The following is a 27553-nucleotide window of genomic DNA, read 5'->3' as shown; positions in this document are numbered from 1 at the left end:
CAAATTGTTCATCAAGAATAAAGGTAGAATCCAGGCATGGTGGCATGCACCAGCTGTCCTAGCCACTTAGGAGACTGAGGTGGGAGGGTCACTTGAGTCCAGGAATTCAAGGCTGCAGTGAGCTATGATTGCACAACTGTGCTCCAACCTGGGCAATAGAGCAAGAGTCTGTCTCCAAAAAAAGTTTTTTAAAAAGGAATAAAGGTGAAATATACATAAATTCTCAAGAATCTTTTCCTTTCTTAAGAAGCTAAGCTAAGATGTGCTAAATTAAAAAGATGGAGAAAATCAAGAAGGAAGAAGGTATGGATTATAGGAAAACAGAAGATCCCGCTAAGGAAATAGAAGGGAGTCCTGAGGATGATGGTCTACTAGCTGTATATCAGATGTAGAGGGCAACAACTCCAAATTAGAACAATGCAATGCCAGAAAGAAGATGCATCGGCAGAGGCTATCACTAAGATGTCAACTACCATTTTAGTACTTTTTAAAACCTGCAAATCAAATGCCTGTATGAGCCTATTCCAGGTTGCTGTTTGTATTTGATTTGCCTTATTCATGTTTTGATGGCGTTTCTCTTCTCCTACCCATCTGTTGCCCACTATGACCTACTGCCTGGATAAGCTGAGGACACTCATTAAATCCCACAGAAGTTTTCTTCTTTGATCTACTCCAGAACTGGAGATGGGCTTTGGTGAACTTAGAAGCAGAAAATACAGAGCAACCCTCTCCCTGACCATAGTCTTGCCAGATGTCCTGCACCCAGGCCACCTTCCAGTTGCTCCAACCTTAGTTAAGTTCTGTTTCCCAGATCTCACCCATAACCTTGCCCACTGATTTCCCCAGAAGTGGCTCCTATACACTTTCATGGAAGCTGAAGCCAGTTTATGGCCCAGAAATTCTACTCAGCTTATCTTCTACAAGATCTCGTTTAATAGTACCTTCATGTTTTTTTCATATGCATCTGGCTTTGTGCTTGCTCTTCAGTTTCTATATTAACCACATACAGTGATCAATAAAAGATTTGAGAAGAAAAGAACAATTTATGGCGATATTCCTTACACATTTCAATTATGTCCTCTTTTGGAACTATGGAGATGGCATCCTCAGGGTTGAGCTGATGAGTAGTGGATTGAAATGGAAAGAGTCTGTGTTGTAGAAAAGCAGCCTCGATGGGCCATGAGCAGCCAGATAAAGCATCCGTGTTCTCTGCCTCTATTTCATGCCCAACTCCATCTCCATTTGGCTGCTAAAATCTCCAATCCAAATTTTCCTTGACTGCCAGCTCCCAGACCTTTTCCAAGGAAACAAATGACCTAAGTGATAGCAGCAATGCTGCCCAGAAATGGAGGGTTTGATAAAAACAGAAAGATGAATTCAAAATACTGGCCCTGGCCAGGCGCAGTGGCTCACGCCTGTAATCCCAGCACTTTGGGAGGCCGAGGCGGGCGGGTCACTTGAGGCCAGGAGTTCAGAACCACAGCCTGGCCAACCACGGTGAAACCCCATCTCTACTAAAAAATACAAAAATTAGCTGGGTGTGATGGCGTGTGCCTGTAGTCCCAGCTACTCTGGAGGCTGAGGCACGAGAATTGCTTGAACCTGGGAGGTGGAGGCTGCAGTGAGCTGAGATTGCACCACTGCACTCCAGCATGGGTGACAGTGTGAGACTCTGTCTCAAGAAAAAAACAAAACAAAACAAACAAACAAAAAATACTAGCCCTTCTCATTGCTCTTCCTGGCCACCTGTTTACTCTGCTGCTTAAAACCCTTCTGTGGAAGGCCGGGCATGGTGGCTCACACCTGTAGTCCCAGCACTTTGGGAGGCTGAGGCGGGCGGATCACAAGGTCACAAGTTTGAGACCAGCCTGACCAACATGGTGAAACCCAGTCTCTACTAAAAATACAAAAATTAGCCAGGCGTGGTGGCACATGCCTATAATCTCAGCTACTCAGGAGGCTGAGGCAGGAGAATAACTTGAATCCAGGAGGCGGAGGTTGCAGCGAGCCCAGATTGCACCACTGCATTCCAGCCTAGGCAACGGAGCGAGACTCCATCTCAAAAAAACAAAAAACAAAAAAACCTTTCCATGGATCTTTATGCCCCATCAATGGGTCTCTTGGTGTGGTACACACACAGACTATTTATAATTTTACCTCTGCTTATCTCACCAGCTTCACCTGTTGCCCTTACAATCCTTTTCTCTTGGCCACAGCAATATTTCACTATTTGTAAGTCACTGAATACTGTGTTCATAACTCTCTATTTTGATCATGCCTGGAAATCTCTTCTTAGACCCTCCTCTCTTTTTTGCCTGGTTAATGCCCGCTTGTTTTTAAGACTCAGTTCAGGCAGAACCTCCTCCAGCAAGAATTCCCTGCCCTAGCCACAGCTCCTTCTCAGCCTGGATTAGATGTGCTTCCTCTGTGCATACCTGAGCCTGTCACAGTGTATTGGAAATTATCTCTTTATCTCTCTGTTTCGCATGGGACTGAAATCCCCTGAAGAGACAAGGTCTTCCATTTACATGACTCCACTACCTAGCACCAAGCCTAGCACAGAATAGACAGTAAATAAATATTTGCTGGATGTAATTATTATAGAGCCTGTCTTCTACTTTAAAGCTATTATGTTCATATTATTCTAATTTTTTATTTAAAAATAATTTATAGGCTTTATTATTTATTTATTTATTTATTTATGTCTATTTTTGAGACAGGGTCTTGCTCTGTTGCTCAAGCGGAAGTGCAGTGGCACCAACATGGCTCACTGCAGCTTTGACCTCCTGGGCTCAAGTGATCCTCCTGACTCAGCCTCCCAAGTAGCTGGGATCACAGGCATGCAATGCTGTGCCCAGCTAATTTTTAAATTTTTTTATTTTGAGCTGGGCGCAGTGGCTCACACCTGTAATCCCAGCATTTTGGGAGGCCGAGGCAGGCGGATCACCAGGTCAGGAGTTTGAGACCAGCCTGGCCAACATGGTGAAACCGTGTCTCTACTAAAAATACAAAAAATAGCTGGTCATTGTGGTGGGCGCCTGTAATCCCAGCTACTCAGGAGGCTGAGGCAGGAGAATCGTTTGAACCCAGGAGGCGGAGGTTGCAGTGAGCCGAGATCACACCATTGCACTCCAGCCTGGGCAAAAGAGCGAAACTCTGTCTCAAAAAAAAAATTTTCTTTTATTATATAGAGACAGGGTCTCGCCATGTTGCCCAGGCTGGTCTCAAACTCCTGGACTCAAGCAATCCTCCTGCCTTGGCCTCCCAAAGTGCTGGGATTACAGGAGTAAGCCACCACTTTAAGTCAGGAATTCGAGACCAGCCTGGCCAACATGGTGAAACCCCGTCTCTACTAAAAGTACAAAAATTAGTTGGGCATGGTGGTGCATGCCTATAGTCCCAGCTGCTTGTGGGGCTGAGGCAGGAGAATGGCTTGAACCCGGGAAGTGGAGGTTGCAGTGAGCCAAGATCGCACCATTGCACTCCAGCCTGGGCAACAGAGCGAGACTCTGTTTCAAAAAAAAAAAAAAAGAATTCTGAATATTGGGCATTTGGCACAATCATCGAACATAAGTGCCCGTTAAATGCTAACCGTTATTACTTCACTTAGTCCTTACAACAGCTCTGAATGCTAGATGTTGCGATTTCTTTCTTTTTTCTTTTTTTTCTTTTTTTTTTTTTGAGACTGAGTTTCTCTCTTTTTGCCCAGGCTGTAGTGCAATGGCGCAATCTTGGCACACTGCAACCTCCACCTCCCGGGTTCAAGCAATTCTCCTGCCTCAGCCTCCCGAATAGCTGGGATTACAGGCACATGCCACCACGCCAGGCTAATTTTTTGTATTTTTAGTAGAAACAGGGTTTCACCATGTTAGCCAGGTTAGTCTCAAATTCCTGACGTCAGGTGATCTGCCCACCTCGGCCTCCTAAAGTGCTGGGATTACAGGTGTGAGCCACCGCACCTGGCCTAGTTATTGCTATCTCTTACTTTACTGATCAATAAACAGTTCAGAGCAGTTAAAATCACAGGATGAGGAAGTGAACCTGAGTTTGTCCAAAGTCCATCTTTTCTCTTCATTCCTGCTATCTTAGCCCAGGTGGAGACATTAAAGAGAAGGCTGTGTTGAGGACAGTGACAAGCAGAGGGTGGGGAGGGGACCAGTGGGCAGTGGATGCTGGTCATGGCCAGGCTATGAAAGGGCCTCCAAGTACTAACGCTCGTAAAATATGTCAGTCCCACTACTTTGCTCATGATATTTAGCTCTAAGAATTGCTGAAGCTGAACATTCCCTTTGGAATGCACAGAATAAGACAAGCTCTGTGTAAGACATTTTTGGTCTTGCTAAGGTCAATGTGGTGGGTTTGTTGCTGAGGAAGAGTTCTGACAATTACTATGGAGACACTACATAAGCAAAGGTAAGCAAAAATGTTTGTCTTTCAGAAGCAAAATTAGAGGGAAGCACAGTAATCAAGATTCCATACATAACAAGTTTTGTGAATAAACACCAATTCAAACAGAAGGTTCAGAAAATTATGTTGAAATTGAACAAGTCCTTAAAGAAGACTCACTCACACTCTTTTCCCCAGATTGTTGGATTGCTTGCAAATGAGGACATTTACTTTCATCATCCTATGGCCTCTTTATTTTGAGAAATATAAATAAATAGAAAATTTACCTTTGATCTCTATTACACCGTTGAAAACATCATATGATTTAAAGTGAAGGAGCAGGGTGCTATTTGTACTCTACTGGGGGAAGAAGAATATTATTTCCACCTAGCTTTTTAAATAATACATTTGGTATTGATTTTAATATAACAGAAAATGCATTAGCATTGAGTTTCCATTAAGAACAATTCAAGAACATTATCAATACCTATTTAATCTGATATATTTTAAAGTATAACTTAGATGAAAGCAAACCAAAAGAGGTGTTTTTTTTTGTTTTGTTTTTTTCATGCAGAGTCTTGCTCTGTCACCCAGGCTGGATTGCAGTGACAGGATCTCAGCTCACTGCACCCTCTGACTCCTGGGTTCAAGCCATTCTCCTGCCAAAGGCTCCCAAGTAGCTGGGATTATAGGCGTGCACCACCACACCCGGCTAATTTTTGCATTTTTAGTAGAGACAGAGTTTCACCATGTTGGCAAGGCTCGTCTCGAACTCCTGACCTCAAGTGATCCACCTGCCTCGGCCTCTCAAAGTGCTGGGATTACAGGCATGAGCCACCATGCCCAGCCAAAAGAGGTCATTTTAATAGCGTATCTTCTTGTTCCCATAATAAAAACGTACACGTTTTCTGCCAATGTTATTTACTTATTTAATCAGTTTTTACTGAGGATTTACTCTGTACCTAGCTTGGTGTCAGGCACTAAGAATGCAGTCATGATAAAGGCAAACACAGTCCCTGCACTGGTGGAGTTTACAGTCTGATAATACCAGAAAATTATACCAAAGTGTTCAAGTTAGACATTTTAATCATTACATTGCAATAGGTTTGCACTGGTGAGTGCATAGAGCAGTGCTTCTCAAAGTTTACTGTGCATGTGAATCACCTGGGGATCTTATTAAAATGTAGAGTCTGATGCAATGGGTCTGGGGTGGAGCTGATATTCTGTATTTAAATAAGCTGTCAGGTAATGCTGACGCTGCTGGTCCATGGATCACACTTCGTAGCAAGGGCATACAATATTAATATGAAAGATGGTAAGATGTAATACTAAGATGTAAGGCATAGAGTAAGATTAGTAATTTTTCTTTTCTGGAGGTATGGAGCACTTGGTAATATTTCGGTGAATGACATGCATCTACGGACAATTGTACCAGACAAGTGTGAAATGTTCACAAGGGGAGGTAGAAAGTGGCATAGGGGCTAAAGAGAGGAGAAACAGGATTTAGGTTGGGGAGAAGAGGGGGTTCAGGAGATGCTTCCTAAGGAAGGCAGAGTCTCTAATTGAGCCAGGAAGATGTGGAGGATGGTGCTCCAGGCTGAGGGCTGAGCACTGGTGTTGGTGTTTTTTGTTTTTGTTTGTTTTTGTTTTGGGGTTTTTTGTTTTTTTTTTTTTTTTTTTGAGATGGAGTCTCGCTCTGTCGCCAGGCTGGAGTGCAGTGGCAAGATCTCGGCTCACTGCAACCTCTGCCTCCCGAGTTCAAGCGATTCTCCTGCCTCAGCCTTCTGAGTAGCTGGGAATACAGGCGTGCGCCACCACGCCCAGTTAATTTTTGTATTTTTAATAGAGATGGGGTTTCACTATGTTGGCCAGGACGGTCTCGATCTCCTGACCTTGTGATCTGCCTGCCTTGGCCTCCCAAAGTGCTAGGATTACAGGCGTGAGCCACCGGTCCTGGCTGTTGTTGGAGTTTTTGTAGGTCAGCACAGAGAATGGCTAGTGGTCCTGTTTGGCAGCTCTTCCATTCAGGGAAGCAGGAAAGATAAGGCCATAAAGTAGAGAACCCCCAGCAAGGCCAACCTCAGCATTCCGAACCATGAACCCAAAACCTGTCATTTTCTCTGAATACATAACGGGCAATACCTTGCTTTATTGCTCAGTGCTCTGTGTGGTGTCCAGTTCAGGCATCTCTGTGTTTCAGCTCCTCTGGCTACTGTCTGATACCTGCGTACCCCTATTATTTCCCAGTACAGCGCTTTTCTCCTTTTTTCTATCATGGCACTTTTTGGGGCAGGATATCTGCTAATAGACTTATTTGCATTGGCCCCAAGAACCTTTTTGTGACCTGTTGCTTTGGGTACTCTGTTGAGTTCTGCTGTCATCACCAGAATTCTTGTCAAGACTGGTCCCAGGCCAGGTGTGGTGGTTCACACCTGTAATCCCAATACCTTGGGAGGCAGAGGTGGGAGGATCACTTAAGCCCAGGAGCTCAAGGCTGCAGTGAGCTATGATCATGCCACTGCCCTCCAACCTGAGCAACAAAGCAAGACCCTGTCTCTAAAAAGAAAAAAAAAAAGAAAGAAAGAAAATTGAAAAGAAAAACCTGGTTCCACATTCCTGCAGCAACTGACTTGCTGCTGCCCTTCTCAAATGGGCGTCAGCTCTCCCGTTCACCTGATCTTCCCATTTCCTCATTGTCTTGCTCAGTTATATTATCTTGGTCCTTGAAGGCATTTGAGGTTGCAGTCTGATTGAAATGGGGGACAAAGCAAACAAGGAGTCAAAGATAGAGTAGTAAGGAGGAGCCATTAGGAGCTATGTCTGCTTTATTCACTTCTGTATCCCCTGTGCCTCAGACAGTACCTAATCCATAACAGGAGTTCAACAAATCTCAGCTGGCTTTTAAATGCAGACTTTGTATAATTGTATTTCACTGATTTTTAAGACATTATTAATTCAGAAAAGCACTCTGTTTAGGAAATTTCTTAGGTTGAAGAACTTTCTCAACTGACAAATTTTGAAGGTAGGTGAGACAATGTTTGTGGTAGATGGACTTCTAAAATGATCCCCAACAATCCTCATCCTTCTGACTGTGGGTGGAACCTGAGAATATAATGAGATATCACCACTACCATTATGCTATGTTGTGTGAAGATTATTTTGGATGGGCCTAACATACACATATGAAACCTTTAAAAGCAGAGAATTTTCTCTAGATGGTTGCAGACGACAAAGCCGGTATTCAAAGCACAAGAGGGATTCAGTGTACCGTTACTGACTTGAAGATGGAGGGGCCACGTGGAAAGAACCCAAGAGTGGCTGCTGGGAGCTGAGAGCCAGCAAGAAAATGGTAACTTCAGTCCCACAACCACGAGGAAGTGAATTCTGCCAGCAACTTGAGTGAGCATGGGAACAGATTATTCTCCAGAACGTCCAGATAAGAGCCTGCCTTAGGCCACACCTTGATTTTGGCTTTGTGAGACCCTAACCAGAAACCTATTTGACCTAGCCTAGGCAGAACTGTCAGCTAATAAGTGGATGCTGTTATCAAGCTGCTAAATTTGTAGTAATTTCATATGAGGCAATAGAAAACTAATATAATGTTTTATACCTCAGGGAAGTTTACAGTGTGTATGTACACATGTATACATATGTATTTATCATGTGTTCACATGATATGTGCATTTAACTTGTCTGTATTCTACTATATGTACTAGAGGAAAAGAAAGGAGAGAACAATAATTTAAATAGCATGAACAATAACCTTACCTTGATTATCCCATTCAATAAGCTATCAGCAATATCTGACAGAATGCACTCTCTTCTTGTAACACATTCTTCACGTTGCCTAATGAAAAGCCTCCTTTTTTGGTTCTCCCACCTCACTGGACACTTCTTTTCACGCCTTTGCAGATTTCTCTTTATGTTTCCTAATTCTAAACATTCCTACATACACTACACATACACATTACCTGACATGGTGGCATAAACAAAATATATATACAGTTCTTTACAGGCAATTAAAAGCTATTCAAAGGGCCAGGTGCAGTGGCTCATGCCTGTAAATCTCAGCACCTTGGGAGGCTGAGGCGGGCAGACCACTTGAGGTCAAGAATTTGAGACCACAGACTGGCCAACATGATGAAACCCCATCTCTACTAAAAATACAAAAATTAGCAGGCATGGTTGCACACACCTGTAATCCCAGCTACTCAGGAGGCTGAGGCAGGAGAATCCCTTGAACCCAGGAGGTAGAGGTTGCAGTGAGCCAAGATAGCACCAGTGCACTCCAGCCTGGGCAACAGAGCAAGACTCCATCTCAAAAAATAAATAAATAAAAAGCTATTCAAAGGTAATTTTTTGACTATTCCTTGCTTAAGAAGAAACTTTAGTTTATTAGTTTTTCTCATCTAAAATTGGGAGGCACCCAGCTATTTCAGTATGAGGTCAAGAGGAGTAGTGAATTAACCTTGCCTTCAAATTGGATTTCTGCACTAGCTCTGAACCTGTGCTGTCCAATATGGTAGCCATCAGTCACATGTAGGGATTTAAATTTAAATTTTAATTAATTAAAAATAAATGAAATTTAAAATTTAGCACTTCAGCTGCACTAGCCACATTTCAAGTGTCCAATAGTAAATGTGCTCCTTGCTACCACATTAGACAACACAGATATAGAGCATTGCCATCATCACAGGAAGTTCTATTGGACAATGAAAAGACCTATACCTTTAATTGCCATTTGGTCTGCTCCACTTAAATATCCCAAACTCTTTGCTGTCCCCCAGAGGAGATTTTGCAAAGAAGTGATGTGAAAAGTGCCTTCTTTGGGATCAAATTGTCTGAGTTTGAATCCAGCTCTATTGTTTGCAGGCTCTGTGTCCTTAGGAGGGTTACTTGACTTCTCTGTGCCTCAGTTTCCTTTTCTGCAAAGTGGGAATAATCACAGGAACTATCCCTTAAAGTTGCTGTGAAGATTAAATGATATAATTTATGTAATGTACTTAAAATAGTACCTAACTCTTAAGTATTGAATAAATTTAGCTATTGTGTTTTGTATTAGCATTATTTTAGAGACCAAATTGAGATTCATCGCACTTCATTTATCTGAAGATTCATGACATTTATTAATTCTGGACCATTTTCAGTCATTATGTTTTCAAATGTTGCCTTTCCTCAGTTCTTTTCTCTTTTCCGTTCTAGAATTCTGGTTGGACATTCATTGTATCTTATCATTATATCTCTATAACTCTTATGTCAGTTTTCTTTTCTGTAAGATGATGATACAAACAGTATCTACCTCATGGAGTTTTTGTTAGGATTAAGTGAGTTGAGCTATGTAAAACACTTAGAATGGCATCATATGTGTGCCAGCTATTATTGACACTCTGGTTTAGCTCCTTATTTATTTTTGGCCCTTGGAGATTTCCCTCAATTCATTAGAGATATTTTGTAATAATTTAGTCCACTCTATAAGACCGAAAGTTATTCTAGACTCTTTTTTTTTTTTTTTAAAGACAGAGTCTTGCTCTGTCTCCAGGCTGAAGTGCAGTGGCGTGATCTCAGCTCCCTGCAACCTCCGCCTCCCAGGTTCAGGCGATTCCCCTGCCTCAGTCTCCCGCGTAGCTGGGACTACAGACGTGCGCCACCACTCCTGGCTAATTTTTTGTATTTTAGTAGAGATGGGGTTTCACCCCATCTGCTAGGTTGGCCAGGATGATCTTGATCTCCTGACCTTGTGATCTGCCCGCATTGGCCTCCCAAAGTGCTGGGATTACAGGCGTGAGCCACTGTGCCCGGCCCAGATTCTCTTTTTGTTGCAAGCGTGACATACACGGTTTCTATTGTTTGGTACACTTTCTTTCCCTCTTAGCTCCCTTCATGTCTGTTTAAAACAGAATTTAATGTCTGTATTACTTTGAATTATATTAAGTATGTAACAGAAAACACAAAATAACCATATCTTTAAAAAGTAGAAGTTTCTTTTTTTCCCCCATAAATGAAGTCTAGAAGTATGAGGTCCATAGCAGATATGCCTTCTCCATAATCATCAAGAGTCCAGTCTTTTTTCAGTTTCTCAACATTTGGCCTTCTTCTTGTGATCCAAGATGACTGCTCTGGTTCCAGCCATTACATCCAAATTCTAGTCAACAGAGGAAAGAGCTAAAGAAGGAATGCCTCTTCCCTTCAATACATTCTTGTAAAGTCATATGTACCATTTCCTACTGGCCAGAACATAATCCCATGGCCGTGCATAATGCCATGGGACACTGGAGAATGTCGTCTCTATTCTTGACCGCCAAATGCCAAGGAGAAAACAGATATTGGGGGAAACTAGCAGTTTTTGCCACAATGCCTCTTCTGTGTTCCCTCTAAGAGTATATCCTCCCTATCTTGTTCACCTCTGGGGTGAATGACTTGGCCTGGTTTACCTGGGGCTTTTATGGAGTTAGCACTGAAAGTCTTGTGTCTCAAAACCTCCCAAACACACATCAGTCTTGGACAAACTGGGATGGTTGGTCACCCTGCATCTACCATGGATCTTATCCATGGTAGATCTTAAGGACAGATCTGTGTCTATTCACTGTTATATCTTTAGTATCTCACACAGGGCTGCACGTACAGGATGTATTCAATAAATAGCAAATACTTACGTGGTGCTTTTATATGCCAGGAGCTGTTCTAAGGGATTTATGTATATATCATGAGTTGAATTTTGTTCCCCCAATATTCCTATGTTAATGTCCCAGTACTTCAGAAGGTGACCCTATTTGGTATAGGGTTGCTGCCAATGTGATTATTTAGGATAAAGTCATACTGAAATAGGGTGGGGCCCTAGTCCCATATGACTGGTGTCTATATAAACAGGTGAAATTTGGATGCAGAGACAAGCATGCAGGGAGAACGTCATGTGAAGATTTGAGTTATGCTGCCAAAAGACAAGGACCTACCAGAAGCTGGAAGAGAAGCCTGGAACAGATCCTTCCCCAGAGACTTCAGAGGGAACAGGACCCTCCCAGCACATTGATCTTGGACGTGTAGTCTCCAGAACTATGAGACAATAAATATCAGTTGTTTAAGCCACTCAGTTAGTGGTACTTTTTTTATGGCAGCCTCAGCAAACCAATACAGTATATTAACTCATTTTAATCTTTACAATTTTCTTGTGAGATAGCTATTATTATTATTATCATCCTCATTTTACAGATGAAGAAATTGAGGCACACAGCAGTTAAGAAAACCAAAGAGTGCCAAGGAGGCATAAAGAGAAAGTGGTAAAGGCAAACTGAAAGGAAGGGAAGAAGAAAGGGGAAAATCTTGAAGTTAAAAGATGGACAGGAATAAAGAGAAAGAAAGAAAAATAGTGAAAGAAAAGGATTAAAACTTGACCTGACATGACTTTCTAAGAACGTTAGAAGCTCTAGGTCACTATATAAACCATTAACATTTTTTTTTTCAGATGTGTCATTAACATTTTCTTTTTTAGATGAGTCTGAATAACTCTTCAAAATGAAGGAATAAGGAAATGCTCCCTCGTTTTTGACATTTGCAGGTGTTTTATTATATTTAGAACCTGAAGCTACAGCTCTTAAGAGTCCTCGTCTTGATTTTGCAATATACTGTTCATTTTTATTTGAGGGGAAGGACTAATAATAACTGGTTTTATGAATGTAACTTTAAGAAGTTTAGAATTTATGTTCACATGCTTTATAGATTTGCTTTTGATGGGTGAAATAACACTTACTTTAAAAAGTTTTGGCTGGGTGTGGTGGCTCATGCCTGTAATCCCAGCACTTTGGGAAGCTGAGGCAGGCAGATCATGAGGTCAAGGAGTTTGAGACCAGCCTGGCCAACATGGTGAAACTCTGTCTCTACTAAAAATACAAAAATCAGCAGGGCGTGGTGGCGTGCGCCTGTAGTCCCAGCTACTCAGGAGGTTGAGGCAGGAGAATTGCTTGAACCTGGGAAGTGGAGGTTGCAGTGAGCCAAGACCGTGCCACTGCACTCCAGCCTGGGCAACAGAGTGAGATTCCATCTCAAAAAAAAAATGTTTTATATGTTGTACTTCTTACCTCTAGTTTATATATGTGTATTCCTGCTGAAGACATAAATGAAATGCAAAGTCAGAGGCAATACCCTGAGAATATGGAGCTTAATCTTCCAGAATGCAGTATACACATTGTATCAGAGACCTTTACATGGTGCTGTATCTCCAATCAGAATCTGTAAATCTGGAATCAGAGGGGTGGACCCAGGATTGGCTGCAGTTACAATCACTCCCAATGGCCTACTGGGGACGTCTTGCTTCCGGGGCTCCATAAGGTTAGAGGTCCTGTTGCCAGCAGGGGCACATGCTCACCAGAGGATGCAGCTAAGGTCCAATTGATTACAAATTATGGATGCCCTCTGGGCACTGAGTTTCTTGTGGCTAGGGGCCAGCAGGTAAGAAGACTTACCATCTTGGCAGAAATAATAACTCTGATCAACAGTGGAAGACTGATCTTACACAACGGGAACAGGAGACATGTGTGTGGAACTCAAGATGACCCATTTGGGTGCTTCTTGGTTGTTGGTTCTCCCTTGATAGATCATAACTGTGAACAGACAAGTGAAGCAACTCCCACCTGAGAAGGATATGATCACTAGGGGCTAAGAAAACTCAATAATGAATGTTTGAGTCATACCACTAGATAAGCCACCAAGACCAGCAGAGGTGGTGGCTGGGGGGCAAGAGGAATTTAGATGGAGTGTGGAGAAGGGAGACTATACTGGAGGCCCTGAGACCAACTGTGGTGATGGAGGGTAACCTGAGCTATTTCCTGAACATGTATGGAAAAGTAGATTTTCATGATACAAGGAACAGATCTGCACGACAGCTGAGGCAGACACTGAAGCTAGGGACTGTCAGCATACTGACATAGCATACCATATCCAGCATACCTGGGCAGCAAGGCTTTGTTGGAGGGAGATTTGAGTGGCACATCTCTTTGTGTCTCCCACAGTGTCTGCCTCAGCTTTCATGCAGTCTAAGTCAATGACTCAGCAAGGTGGTGATTCAAGGGCCCACCCATTTACATTAAAAGTGGAATTCTGATCTTTATTCTAGAGCTTCCTGTTGGACTAGCAGAGGCTTTGTCAGGTCTGCATAGTGGTATGACAGTTCCCCTTGACCAATCTTTCTGTCTCCCTTGCTCCTTTCACAGGTGTTAACCCTCTAAACTTTTGTACTAGAACTCTCTTTCAGCCCACTGATTCCTGGAGAATCCCAAACCAGCACATGCTGCATAGCAAACAATCACATAACCTCACTGATATAAAACAGTAAGCACTTCTTACCACATACAAGTTTACAGGCCAGGTGGCAGTGGTTTTAGTCTTAGTTGGGTCATGTGTCTGTGGTCATTTGTTGGTTAGATAAGCATTTCTGTTGATCTTAACTGGGTTCTTTCACATGTTTGGGGGTTGGTTGGCTGCATGCTGGTCTAAATGGCCTCAGCTGGGACAACTGGCCTTTCCTTCATGTAGTGTTGCATTCTTTAGTTGGCTCATGTTGGCTTGATCACATGGTGGTAGAAGGTATCTGATATGGTTTGGCTCTGTGTCCCACCCAAATCTCGTGTTAAATTGTAATCCCCAATGTTGGGGGAAGGACCTGGTGGGAGGTGATTGGATCATGGGGGCAGATTTCCCCCTTGCTGTTCTCATGATAGTGAGTTCTCATGAGATTTGGTTGTTTGAAAGTGTGTAGCACTTCCCTCTTCATCCATCTCTCTCTCTCTCTGTCTCTCTCTCTTTCTCTCTCTCTATCTCCCTCTCCTGCTGGCCATGTGAAGATATACTTGCTTCCCCTTCACCTTCTGCCATGATTTTAAGTTTCCTGGGGTCTTCCCAGCCATGCTTCCTGCACAGCCTGCAGAACTGTGAGTCAATTAAACCTCTTTTCTTATAAATTATGCAGTCTCAGTAGTTCCTTATAGCAATGTAAGAGAACAGACTAATACATCATCCAAGAGAACAAACTGAAGCAAACAAGGCCTCTTGAGGTCTAGACTTGGAATTCACACACTGTCTTTTCTGCCATATTCTAGTCGGCCAAAGCAAATGCCAGGGCTAGCTTGGCTTCATGGATACAGGGAACCCTGTTTTTTTGTGTTTACTTTTTAGAGTCAGGGTCTCACTCAGCTACCTAGGCTAGAGTGCAGTGGTAAAATCATAGCTCACTGCAGCCTCAAACTCCTGGGCTCAAGTGATCCTCCTGCCTCAGCCTCCTGAGTAGCTGGAATTTGGAACCACTTCTTGATGAAGAAGATGCAAATGTACATTAGAAATGTATAAATAGAGGGAGGCATAAAGATTTTGGAACAGTTTTGCAATAATCTGCCACAGGGAGAATTTCCTAAAGTGGACAGACAGAACTATAGTGGACAAGCAGAAACTATGGACAAACAGCACTGGACAAACAGAAACTATAGCTATCTCAATCTATTATACTGTACTTTTAGCTTTTCCTTTATTTTTATTTTTATTTTTAATATAGGTTCTCAGTCTGTCACCCAGGCTGGAGTGCAGTGGCATAATTAGCTCATTGCAGCCTCCAACTCCTGGGCTCAAGCAGTCAGTCTCCCAACTCAGCCTCCTGAGTAGTTGGGACTACAAGCACATGTCATCAGGCCCAACTAATTTTTTCTTTTTTAAATAGAGATGGGATCTCTCTATGATGCCCAGTCTGGCCTTGAACTCCTGCCCTTAAGCATGAGCCATGGAACCCAGCCTGCTTTTATTTTTTTTGAAATGAAAAATTAAAAGCAAATAGAAAATATGGAGAATAACATAATAACCACTCATGGACTCACTCTTCTACTTTAATATATCTTAAAATTCTGTTACGTGAAGAGCTAAAACTTTGGAGATGCTGTAGTTTTAAAATCCATTGTATATCCCTGTTCTTCCTTCTTATTTCTCCATTGAAGTCTTCAACTGAAAACTTTTAACTCCAGATAGTTACTTTTTAAGTGTAAAGCCTTGCGACTCATGCCTTCTGGTGATTCAGCAAGAGAAAATTGGAATTATATTCATTCAGTCATTAAACAAATATTTATTGTGCTTCTATTTGCTAAACACTGCATCACGTATATATTTATATAGTATATTCTTATTTTTTGTAGTGTTCTATTTGCAGACCATTTTGCTTCATGTAAGATTATATATCTAAAGTGAGAAACCAAGAACATTGTCTTTTAAAATGGGGGCCCTTTTTCAATATCTCTTAAAAAAAATTTTTATACCTTCAAGTTTTGAGGGTGAATCTTGTTTTACTCTTAGGATGTAAATTTTCATTCCAAGTTTCTTATCACTTTCCTTCTATGGGTTTGGCTCTTGTTGTGTCACTTGGGTGGGTAGGATGTTTGAGCATGTTTATTTAGTTACTAGTTGGCCGCACCTTTGGTTTGCTTTCATATAATTACATTGTTCTGGCTTGTAACTTCTATCTGGTTTGTCTTCCTCAATATGATGACTTCAGAGTGCAGTCCTCTCCCTGGTTTGTTTTCTGTGCTTTTGTAGTGAGCTAGTTATATTTTTTTAAAAAACAGCTTTATTGAGATATAATTCATGTACCAAAAATGTATCCCTTATATTTACAAAATTGTGCAACCACCACCACTTCTGATTTTAGGATATTCTGATCACCTCAAAAAGAAACCTTATACCCATTGGCCATCACTCCCCATTCTCCCCTCCCCTGGCAACCACTAACCTACATTTTGTTTCCATAGATTAGCCTATTCTAGACATTTCATATAAACAAGATCATAGGAATCTTTTGTCTCTGGCTTCTTTAACTTGACATAATGTTTTCAAAGTTCATCTTTTTTTTTTTTTTTTTTTTTTTTTTGAGACAGAGTTTCACTCTTGTTGCCCAGGCTGGAGTGCAATGGCGGGATCTCAGCTCACTGCAACCTCCACCTCCCGGGTTCAAGTGATTCTCCTACCTCAGCCTCCTGAGTAGCTGGGATTACAGGCATGCGTCACCGTGCCTGGCTAATTTTTTGTATTTTTAGTAGAGATGGGGTTTCACCATGTTGGCCATGGTTGGCCAGGCAGGTCTGGAACTCCTGACCTCCTGAACTCCTGGCCAGGCAGGTCTGGAACTCCTGATCCACCCGCCACAGCCTCCCAAAGTGCTAGGATTACAGACGTGAGCCACTGTACCCGGCCTAATTGGGTTTTTAAACAACTATTGTTGTTTTTTATATGTTCTGAATATAAGGTCCTTATTAGATATATGATTTGAAAGTATGTTCTCCCCTTCTGTCTTTTCACTTTAATAATCGTGTCCTTTGAAACACGAAAGTTTTAAATTTTGCTAAGTCCAATTTATTTTTTCTTCTGATATTTATGTATTTTGGTATCACATCCAAAAAATTATTTTTTCAACCATGGTCACAGAGATCTAATCCTATGTTTTCTTCGAAGAGTTTTATAGTTCTAGTTCTTACATTTAGGTCTATGATCCATTTTGAGTTAATTTTTGCATATGGAATGAAATAGGGGCTCAAATTCATTCATGTGCATGTGGATATCCAGTTGTAAAGACAATTCCTTCCCTGTTGAATTATGTTGGCACCCTGTCCAAAGTTATATCTTTATTGAAGAACTTACCAAGTTTTGTCTCGTTTTGTGTAAACTGTATAGACCTTCCTCTCTCATTGGAGGACAGGGAACATGTTTTGTTCTTTTGCAATGAGAAGACATATGTGAAAAGCACCTACCATAGGATGTGATCATGGATATTTCTTTCCTTCTTTTGAGTCTCCCCACAGCACCTAGAGTGGTACTTGGCACACAACAGTTACCATAAATGTTTGCTAATTGTAGAGTGGGCTTGGGCATGCACCACCCACCCACCACAAAAATGTGGATTCCCGAAGCTCTAATTGGCTGGGAAACCCAGAACAACTTTCACGCCTTTCCAAATTAAGATTCAATGGCTGGGCTCAGTGGCTCACGCCTGTAATCCAGCGCTTTGGGAGGCTGAGGTGGGTGGATCACGAGGTCAGGAGTTTGAGACCAGCTTGGCCAACATGGTAAAACCCCGTCTCTACTAAAAATACAAAAATTAGCCGGGCGTGGTGGTGCATGCCTGTAATCCCAGCTACTCGGGAGGCTGAGGTAGGAGAATCCCTTGAACCCGGCAGGCGTAGGTTGCAGTGAGCCGATATCGTGCCACTGCACTCCAGCCTCGGCAATAGAGTGACTCTAGTCTCAAAAAAAAAAAAAAAAAAAAAAAATTAAGACTCAATGACAGTAGAAACTGACTCCAATGGCTTAATGAAATGGTACTGTTGGTCAAGGTAGGGATTTTTAAATTATTCATCCTTGAAGGGAAGTGACAAATAAGGTTTCACTTACCAAACATTTAAAACAACCCTAAAGGTCCAGAACCTTTGTTTTATTGTTGTTGGCTTAATTTCCAGTTCTCTAAGTGTCTACTTATTTAATCGCTTATGCAGTAATAAAGTTTTAACTTGTGGATTTGACCTCAATTCCACAGAATCGATTGTGGTTCTTATCTGCTTAAAAGCGGAAAGATTTTCTCAGGCGGCAACAGCCACTATTGAAAAGGCAAAGAAACAGCACTCAGGTGTGGCAGGCAATTCTATTTTCAGTGACCCTTTTCTCCCTTTCTTTTTCTCTCCTACTTGCTGAACATTAGGAGCTCTTGGTAATCTCTCAGAAATAGAGCAAGACGCCAAAGATAAAGGCCTGTTCATCGCACTCAGGAATTTCCTAAGGTTTCATGTCCAGGTAATATTTCTGCCTGCTACTTGGGTATCTTTTGGTGAAATTCCAGAATCTTTTCCTCTCTGTGTGAAAGTAAGTACGTGCACCTACTGAACCTAAGATGTGTATTGTGCAGGTACACACAACTTTGGTTACACGGTTCTTTCCAGCTTTGAAAAACTTTCTTAGGGGTAGCTCACACAGCTAAGTGCTTCAAATTACAGTTTCTGACTCCAGAGCCAGTGGTCTCTCCACTTCCCCTAGTTGCCTCTCTACAAATAATCACGTATGGGTCTCTTTAACACATTTCTTCCTGTTCTTCTAGGAATTGTAGCCATATCCTAGCCCTAAATGAACTGGAATACAGTGAGGCTTGATTTATTATTAAACATTTTTATTAGACTTTTTTTTTTTTTCGAGAAGGACTCTCGCTCTGTTGCCCAGGCTGGAGTGCAGTGGTGCGATCTCCGTTCACTGCAAGCTCTGCCTCCTGGGTTCAGGCCAGTCTCTTGCCTCAGCCTCCCGAGTAGCTGGGACTACAGGCGCCCGCCACCACGCCTGGCTATTTTTTTTTTTTTTTGTATTTTTAGTAAAGACGGGGTTTCACCGTGTTAGCCAGGATGGTCTCGATATCCTGACCTCGTGATCTGCCCGCCTCGACCTCCCAAAGGGCTGGGATTACAGGCATGAGCCACCGCTTCCAGTCTTACTAGACTATTTTTAAGAACAGTTTTAGGTTCACAGCAAAATTGAGCTAAAGGTACAGAGATTTCCCATGTACCCCCTGCTCCCACACATGCATAGCCTCCCCCATTATCAACATCCCCCACCAGAGTGCCACAGTTGCTACAATTGATGAACCCACATTGACACCTCATAATCACCCAAAGTCTATAGTTTACATTGCGGTTCACTCTTGGTTTTGTACATTCTTTGGGCTTGGACAAAGGCATCCGCTATTACAGAATCATACGCATAGTAGTTTCACTGCCCTAAAAATCCTCTGTGCTCCCGCAAGTCTAGGTTTTTAAGGGCGAAAAGAGAGGGAAAGAAAAAAGTGTGCATTGCAGAGGCTCGACCCAACTCCAAGCCAAGTTTGTTCCAAAGTTCAGCAGCTCCCAGCTGTCCCATCTCTCCCAGTTCGGCCCCGGTCGGGTTCCTCCTCTTTTTGTTTAAGTGTCAAACAAATGGGTTTCCTGTTGACACTGGAATATCGTGAAAAGGCAGGAAGAGGCCAGGCCACCTCCTCTTTCCCCTCTTCCTATCCCGTTTATTTATTTTGCACACGTTTGTTTGGGTCGAGCTGGTGTTTCCAGCGTGTGTGGCTGTGGGGCGGCCTTAGGGGCCGATAACCCCTCCCTGAGGAGGCGAGGCCAGCCCCGAACCCGCCCGATCCGCGGTGGAGCTCTACGGGGCGGGGAAGGCAAAGAGGAAGGGGGAAGAGAGCGGGAGTGGGAGTGGGAAAGGCCAGGGATTAAGAGGCCGCCGGGACGCCGCAAGGAGGCGGGGAATCGGCTCGGCCCGCGCCCTGCCGCTGCCCGGCCGGCTGCAGGTGGAGTTCGCGGAGGTGGCCATTTCCACAGCCGCCGCCGACGCCTCCTCTCCGGGAGCCGCCTTCCCCCCGGCCCGAGGGCGGTGGCGTGGGGCGCCGGGTGCAGGCGTTCTGGGGCGCCGGGGCCGCAGCTCGCTGGCCATCCCGCGGCTGCGCCCCGCGCCTCGCCCATGGCTGAGGGCCGGCGGCGGGAGGACGAGGAGGAAGAGCTACGCGAGCGCCGCGAACTTGGTGGCCAGCGCCGCGCCCGGGGCCGTGCGCTCTCGGGCCACTCGGCCGCAGGTGAGAGGCGCGGGGGACGGGGCGGCGGGGACCCAGAGCTGCGCGCTCTGGGGCCGCTCGGGTCCTGCCCCACACAGCGGCAGCTCCTTCACGCGCCGGGATGGGACCGGCTTCTTTAACTCTCAGAGGCCAGACTCGGGGAGGGTGGCATTTCCATCGCCATCCTCACTTTCCGGCCGAGCCCGAGGAAATTCAGACCCGTCTTTAACTGCTAGTGGTCGTACAGCTGAAACTCAAATTTTCCGTGCACACTAAATCCAGGAGCTGCTGGCTTGGGACTTGTGGCCTGGTTGATGACTTATCTCTGGATGAGTCAGAGGTCAATGGCCGTCTCGGTGGACAACGACACCTTCCGAGGGGTTTGCCTGCGCCGCCGCAGCCAGGTCAGAGCACGTGCTCATAACTGAGGCAAGTCCTGTTTCGGCGTCCCTTGCACTTCGGACCTGTGACCCCCCTCCCTCCCTCCCCCAGCCGCCGAGCTCACCAGTTTTCTGTAGGACTTGTTTTCGTTAGTTGTGAGACCCTCCCCCACGCAAAGAGAAGTCCAGAATATAGCATTCCAAAAGGCCATTCATTTGGGCTGAGAATCATTTTCGGGCCTGTAATTACTTTTATGATACTGTGTTTTGGGTACACAAAAGCGGCACGGATCAAATAGTTTGGCACATTAGTGAAAGAGTGAATAAGTGTAGATCCACACCCCTTCCCTCTTCCGGGCGGCTTTTCAATCAAACATAATAGAGAGGACATTCTTTGGCCTTTGGTTCCAACTGGGTAATCCGAGTTATCTGAAAACAAGAGGGAAGAACAAACCTAGGGGGACTGGCAACAAAAGGGAGATAGGGAAGTGAGAGAGTCGGAGGAGAACGATTCACTGAGAGCCTCATTATAAAGTGGAATATAGCGAATATTCCATGAAGTGGAGAAGCTTTTCTGTGTGACTCCCTTAACCACTAAGAGAAAGTTGGAAAAATAGAGAAGATATTGTATCTGTGCGGAACAAATGGAGGGTAGAAAGTAGGATGAAAGGAAAACTTGAGAAGAACATCTTGAAGAAATAGTCAATTTAATGCCTTTGGTAGAATCTTGGAACATAAAAATAATTCTCCATGCTCATTATTACAACTTTTCATCAAAATAAGGCATTTGGCTGTCTATATGAACACCAGTTTTGAACATAATTGGTAATTTTGTTCAGTGTAAACCCAAACCTTGTGAAATAATGAATAGTTGCTGGATATAAGTGAATATTTCTTGCAAGAGTACAATGAAAAAACTTTACAAAGATATACCGCCATGCCTGACCTATGGATTTAAACAGGGTAGGCCACCTTAGATTCCTGTTACCTTCAGCAGAAAGCTTCATTCTCACAAGAGACTGTACAGTGAAGACCTGTTTTGGAGTTCAGACTAGATGTGATCCAGATGTGTGTTTATCATTTAGTTGCAATATGTGTATTTATTCCAAAGCTGGTGGAAATGACATTTTGTAATTAGTTTTCACCAGTTCCCTAATTTCTCAAGGTTGACAAAGGCTTTTCTAGGTTCTTTGATAATATTTTGCTGAGACATGACATTGTGTACTTTTTGCATTCAGTAATTGGTGTTTGTAGTTTTCTAACCATTTATATGCCCTTTTTCCATTAAAGGGTGTGAGGACGATGTAATGGAATGAGTAAGAGGGTTAAACTTGCGATTTTTGGATTTATTTCTTTTAGAAGAAATTATTTAATAGTTTACATTTCTTTACAAGCTGAGCTCCACTTTCCCCTTATTAGTTAACATGTTTTTCAGACACTAACACATTCCTTACCAAGCTTGGGCATTTGTTAGTTATGTCTGTGCTAGATGTTGCTCTCCTCCAAGTGAGAGGGTATGAACTGACGCAGAAGCTTCATGTTTTTTCTGCATCACCTTTTCAGTTTTTCACTTTTCCTGTTCTCAGTGCTCCCTCCTTCCCTTATCATTTTACAATCTAAAGAGTTTCCTTTTCTCTGATTTCACCTAGCTTGATAACCATAAACCTGGGGTTTATGGACTTAAGGTAGTCTGTGAACTCTTCCTTCTCTCCCTGATAAATTTTGGAGTGGTTGTGTAAGTGCATTTATTTATTTTTGTAACTTACATACAGAAGAACATATGAAATTTGTAAATTATAAAGTAAAAACTCTTGTAACTCATGCTCAAGTCAAGAAATAGGATATAGTCAGTTCCTTAGAAATGGATTCCCATCCCTCCTAGACTTAGCCTCCTCTCTCCCCTAGATGTAACCATTTTTTTAACCTTTGTGGTTATTATTTCCTTTTCATTCTGTACAGTTTTACCATACACATATGCATCTCTATAAAATATTGTTTAGTTTTACCTTTTTAAGATCATTTAAGTGGAATTGTCCTGTATTTTATCAACCCAGCAGAAAGCAAGTAATGACTTGAGATTATGAAATGTCTGGAATGAGTTCTTTTCATTCAAAGGCCAAGAGCCCCAGGCAGGTTCTGAGCACAGGACAGTCCTTGTAGGGCATCCTTAGGAAATAAATGTGTGTGTGTTTTTAAAATGATGTTAAGAAAATTGGGTTTGATTAATCACAGTTTTATTTTACAACAAAGGATGATAGTTGATCTGGTGCCCAACTTCTTTATAAAATGTATTTATGTTTCCCAGCTTTTAAAGTAATAAAATATCTTCAGCATGATTCTAAAATAAATAAAAAGCTCAGTTGAATTTTTTTTTTTTTTTTGGCAGAATTATAGGCAATCAAGTACTGAGGTCAATTCAGGAAAGGTTTTTTTTTTTTTTTTTTTTTTTTAGGCAGAGTCTTGCTCTGTCGCCCAGGCTGGAGTCTAGTGGCGTGGTCATGGCTCACTGCAACCTTCACCTCCCAGGTTCAAGTGATTCTCATGCCTCAGCCTACAGAGTGGCTGGGATTACAAGTGTGCACCACCATGCCTGGCTAATTTTTCTATTTTTAGTGGAGACGGGGTTTCACCATGTTGGCCAGGGTGATCTCGAACTCCTCCCACCTCAGCCTCCCAAAGTGCTGGAATTACAGGTGTGAGCCACTGCACCTGGCCAGTGAGGGTTAATTCTGTAGTAGCTCATGATGCATGAGATTAATAAGCAGTTATAGGAAAGTAAATGGGGAGCAGAGAGTATTCCATTGTTTGGGTTTCATGTGCTGAGGCTAAGGTGTCGTAAATCTGGCACTATGTGAAATATTTACTGTTGATGGTGGTATCCAAGATCCTTAATTGCCTGACCTGACAGAGAGTGGTAATATGAAAGCTAGACACAACACCTGAATTCTTGGGGGTGTCTCACTAATCCACCAAATGCCCATTACAAACAAGGAAGAGAGGATGTGGGTACACTAATCCAGTGGTTCTCAAACTTTTGCCACATGTATCTGAATTGCCTGAAGGCCTTGTACACGCTCAGTATCTGATCACTTGGTCTGGGATAGGGCCTGATAATTTTCATTTTTGACACATTCCCAGATAACATTTATGTTGCTGGTTCAAAAGGATGATGCACTTTGCAAACTCCATGTAATTAAGAGAGAAATCACACCCCAACACAGATTGTTAAATTCTAAGAAATAGTTCCTTTGGCTAATTTGTCCTTTTTAGTAGATCAGATGAAAACCCATGAGATAAACATGGAGATTTCCACAGGCTAACTTATAGGACTTAGTTTCCATTGTGGGTTTTCTCGGTAGCTTAAAGGATTTCATGGTTGATTTATACAGCCTGGCATTTATGATCAACTTCATTTTTGTTTCTTGGTTTTTTTCTTTCTGTTATTGATTGCATATTCTTCATCTCTATCTGCACAACTGAGATTGGTGTGTTAGTGCCACTGTGTTAGTGTTAGTTAGTGCTAGCCAAGGGCAAGAAGTGGAGGGTGGGGGGAATAGGCGGACGAGATTGGGTGACCAACTCTTCCCAGTTTCCCAGGACTTTTCCAGCTTTTAAAACTGAAAGTCCCCCATTCATGGAAACTCCTCAGTCCCAGGCAAATCAAGGATAGTCACCCTAGAGGAAGGATAGCTTGGGTGGGGGAAGAAGGGAGGATAAAGGCTACTGATAATGTTATTTATACTAACATCCCTGCTTTAGTCCAGGTGCTTTTTTCACTCAACATTAAGTTTGTAAGATTTATTTGTATTGTTACATGTAGCTGTGGGTTTTTGTTTGTTTTGAGACAGAGTCTTGCTCTGTTGCCCAGGCTGGAGTGCTGTGGTGTAATCTCAGCACACTGCAACCTCTGCCTCCCAGATTCAAGTGATTTCTCCTGCCTCAGCCTCCCAAGTAGATGGGACTACAGGTGCATGCCACCATGCCCAGCTAATTTTTGTATTTTTAGTAGAGGCGGGGTTTTGCCATGTTGCCCAGGCTGGTCTTGAACTCCTGACCTCAGGTGACCCGCCTGCCTTGGCCTCCCAAAGTGCTGGAATTACAGGCGTGAGCCACTGTGCCCGGTTCTGTTTTTTTTGTTTGTTTGTTTTCATTGTATAAATATATACCACAGCATTTTGCCTATTATTTTTTATTGATTTATTGGAGTTCTTTGTTTACCCAGGAATCTCAACTTTTGTTGGTTATGTGTGTTACAAATATCTTCTTCCACCTCCACTCTGGCTTACTTTTTCATTTTCTCTATGGTTTCTTTCGATGTGGAAATTCTTCATTTCAGTATAGATGAATTTATGAATCTTTTCCTTTATAATTTGTGTCTCTTCCCCCCTCACCCCCTTTAAGAACATGATTTCTATCCAAGGTCATGAAAATATTCTCCTATATTTCCTTTATTGTCCCCTAAAAGCTTTGTAGCTTTCCTTGGGGAGAAATGCCATAGCTTTCATCAGATTCTCAAACAGATTTGAGAATCTCTGCCTGACATACAACATTTTAATATTATTTCTCCAAAGGGAGGATATACAAGATTCTGGATCCTCCTCCCAACATCTGGAAGAGTAGTAGGCACATAATAGGGCTTACTAAATGCTAACTAAATTTACTCTTTCTATATTTTGATGTGTTTATGGTAAACCCTGGAAGGACTGATATAACTGTTGTCTGTTGTGCTTTGAGTAAAATAACTTTAATATCATCAGTATGAGGGCACAGAAGAACATTCACTGTGTTCACGGTGTACCAGGTGCTTCTTTATGTTATCACCTGTGAGGTAGGTATTATTTTCTTCATTTTATCATTGAAAAGACTGAGGCTCACAAACATTTAAGCAACTTATCCACAGTCCCTCAGCTAGTAAATACTGGAATGGTGATTTGAATGCAGGTTTTTTTTGAAGTGGAAGTCCATGTTTTTCCAGGTGATCACACTGACTGCTCATATAAGTCAGTTACTATTGATGCTCCACGCATTTATACCTGTATGCTGCTTGCTGTATTCTAGAAGTACTTTACATTTATGTGGTGCTTTTCTATTTATGAAGGGCTTTCACAACTGCATTCATTTGGATTCTTACAACAAACTGAGAGGGAAGAGGGTAAGTTTTTTGTTCCCATTTTAAAGATGAGTAAACTGAGACTCAGAAATGTTAGAAGGTTTTATCTAAAATTACACAACTAGGTATAGCTGAACCTCAGTCACCTCTATTGTGTGTTGCAAGTTGTAGAGGTTTTTTTAGTTGATTCATATAAGATGTCAGGTCATATCCTCTCAGAGTCTGTGGCTTTGTCTACTAAGTTAGATAGTTTTGAAAACTGCATTAGTTCTCTGGACCACCAGCTTACTGTTTTTTGTTATTAGAATTCCAAAGTTGTCTAATTTATTTTGAGAAAGTTATTTTAAGTTCCATGGAAACTATGAGTAGATTTACATGTTGTTTAAAAATCCTGTACTCATCACATTGTTTAAGAAGACCTGGGCCAGGTACAGTGGCTTACGCCTGTAATCCCAGCACTTTGGGAGGCCAATGCGGGTGGACTACCTGAGGTCAGGAGTTCGAGACCAGCCTGGCCAACATGATGATACCCCATATCTACCAAAAATACAAAAAATTAGCCAGATGTGGTGGTGGGCACCTGTAATCCCAGCTACTCGGGAGCCTGAGGCAGGAGAATCGCTTGCTAGGGAGGTGGATGTTGCAGTGAACTGAGATCACACCACTGCACTCCAGCCTGGACAACAAGAGTGAAACTCTGTCTCAAAAAGAAATAAAAGACCTGTCTAGTTATCCCCATCAATATAATGTATGCAAAATGGTGCCTAAAATACTGGCAATACAAAGAGATATATAAAATAGGCTCCCTGCTTTTAAAGACTATGCCATAGAATTAGGGAAGGTAAGACTGTTACACTTTAAAGAAGATAATTAAGAATATAAAGAATATAAAGTAGTCCATGGTGGGTATCAGTTTGACATGAGAGAATCAGACTGTCTTGGTTCATTTTTTGGCTGACCACTGGCTGTGTGACCTTGGACAAGTTACGTAACCTCTCTGCTTCTATTCTTTATTTATATTTCTAAATTTGAATAATAGTAAATCCTATTGCATTGGGTTTGAAGACTAAATGAGTTAATGTATATAATGTCCTTAGAACATGGCCAAGCCCATAGTAAATACCTATAAAATTATTAGCACTTATTTTATGTCTCCTTTTTCTTATTATTGATAAAATATTTCACAGTTGAGTCTGCATTTTCTTCACTTGGGAATAGTTATGAATTCATGTTGTCAGAGGAAAAAGAAGGTAAATCTGCAGTGTCATCATTTAATAATCAAATGTAGTTGCTTTTCTTTGGCATTCATGTATCTCTTGGAAATATCTTAATTCTAGAGGACTCCCAAAGACTGAGGCTAGTTCTTCCTTTGGTATTTCTTAAGCCATATGAATTACTTTAACATGGCCTGGTAATAATGCTCAGCTTTTCTTTTCTTTTTCTTTCTTTCTTTTTTTTTTTTTTTTTTTTTGAGTCAGAGTCTCACTCTGTCGCCTAGGCTGGAGTGCAGTGGCGCGATCTTGGCTCACTGCAACCTCTGCCTCCCAGGTTCAAGCAATTCTCCTGCCTCGGCCTCCCAAGGAGCTAGGACTACAGGCACGTGCCACCATGCCCGGCTAATTTTTTTTTTGTATTTTTATTAGAGACAGGGTTTCACCATATTGGCCAGGTTGGTCTTGAACTCCTGACCTCGTGACCTGCCCACCTCAGCCTCCCAAAGTGCTGGGATTACAGGCATGAGCCACTGCACCCGGCCTATCTTTTATTTTCTTTTTTTTTTTAAGAAACAGCCTCGCTCTGTTGCCCAGGCTGGAGTGCAGTGGCACAATCTCAGCTCACTACAACCTCCACCTCCCAGGTTCAAGCGATTCTCCTGCGTCAGCCTCCCAAGTAGTCTCATCCTCCCAAGTAGCTGGGATTACAGGTGCCTGCGACCACGTTGGCTGATTTTTGTATTGTTAGTAGAGACAGGGTTTTGCAGAGTTGGCCTGGCTGGTCTCGAACTCCTGACCTCAGGTGATGTGCCTGCCTCGGCTTCCCATAGTGCTGGGATTATAGGTGTGAGCCACTGTGCCCAGCCAA

The 27553-nt window shown here is 42.6% G+C and overlaps 1 protein-coding gene across 4 annotated transcripts in view, besides 1 other annotated feature; it reads left to right on the top strand.

Annotated features, from left to right (window-relative positions):
* Positions 3932 to 4226: a silencer, noted in NCBI's record as "tiled region #2958; K562 Repressive non-DNase unmatched - State 24:Quies". NCBI's record gives its function as "represses a minimal TATA promoter and a strong SV40 promoter by Sharpr-MPRA in K562 cells {active_cell/tissue: K562}" and the evidence as "EXISTENCE:reporter gene assay evidence [ECO:0000049][PMID:27701403]".
* Positions 19638 to 27553, top strand: part of SH3D19 (SH3 domain containing 19) — a 205325-nt gene continuing 197409 nt past the window's right edge. For all 4 annotated transcript variants that reach the window (NM_001378131.1, NM_001378128.1, NM_001378122.1 and 1 more), the window contains exon 1: positions 19638 to 20002. Coding sequence is in view for 2 of the 4 variants with exons in the window: in NM_001378122.1 (NP_001365051.1) it covers positions 19891 to 20002 (112 nt within the window). In the remaining 2 variants the exon portion in view is untranslated. The remainder of the gene's footprint in view (positions 20003 to 27553) is intronic.

This window comes from Homo sapiens, chromosome 4, assembly GCF_000001405.40.
Source record: "Homo sapiens chromosome 4, GRCh38.p14 Primary Assembly".
NCBI lineage: Eukaryota > Metazoa > Chordata > Mammalia > Primates > Hominidae > Homo > Homo sapiens.
This window is presented reverse-complemented; position numbering and strand designations above follow the sequence as displayed.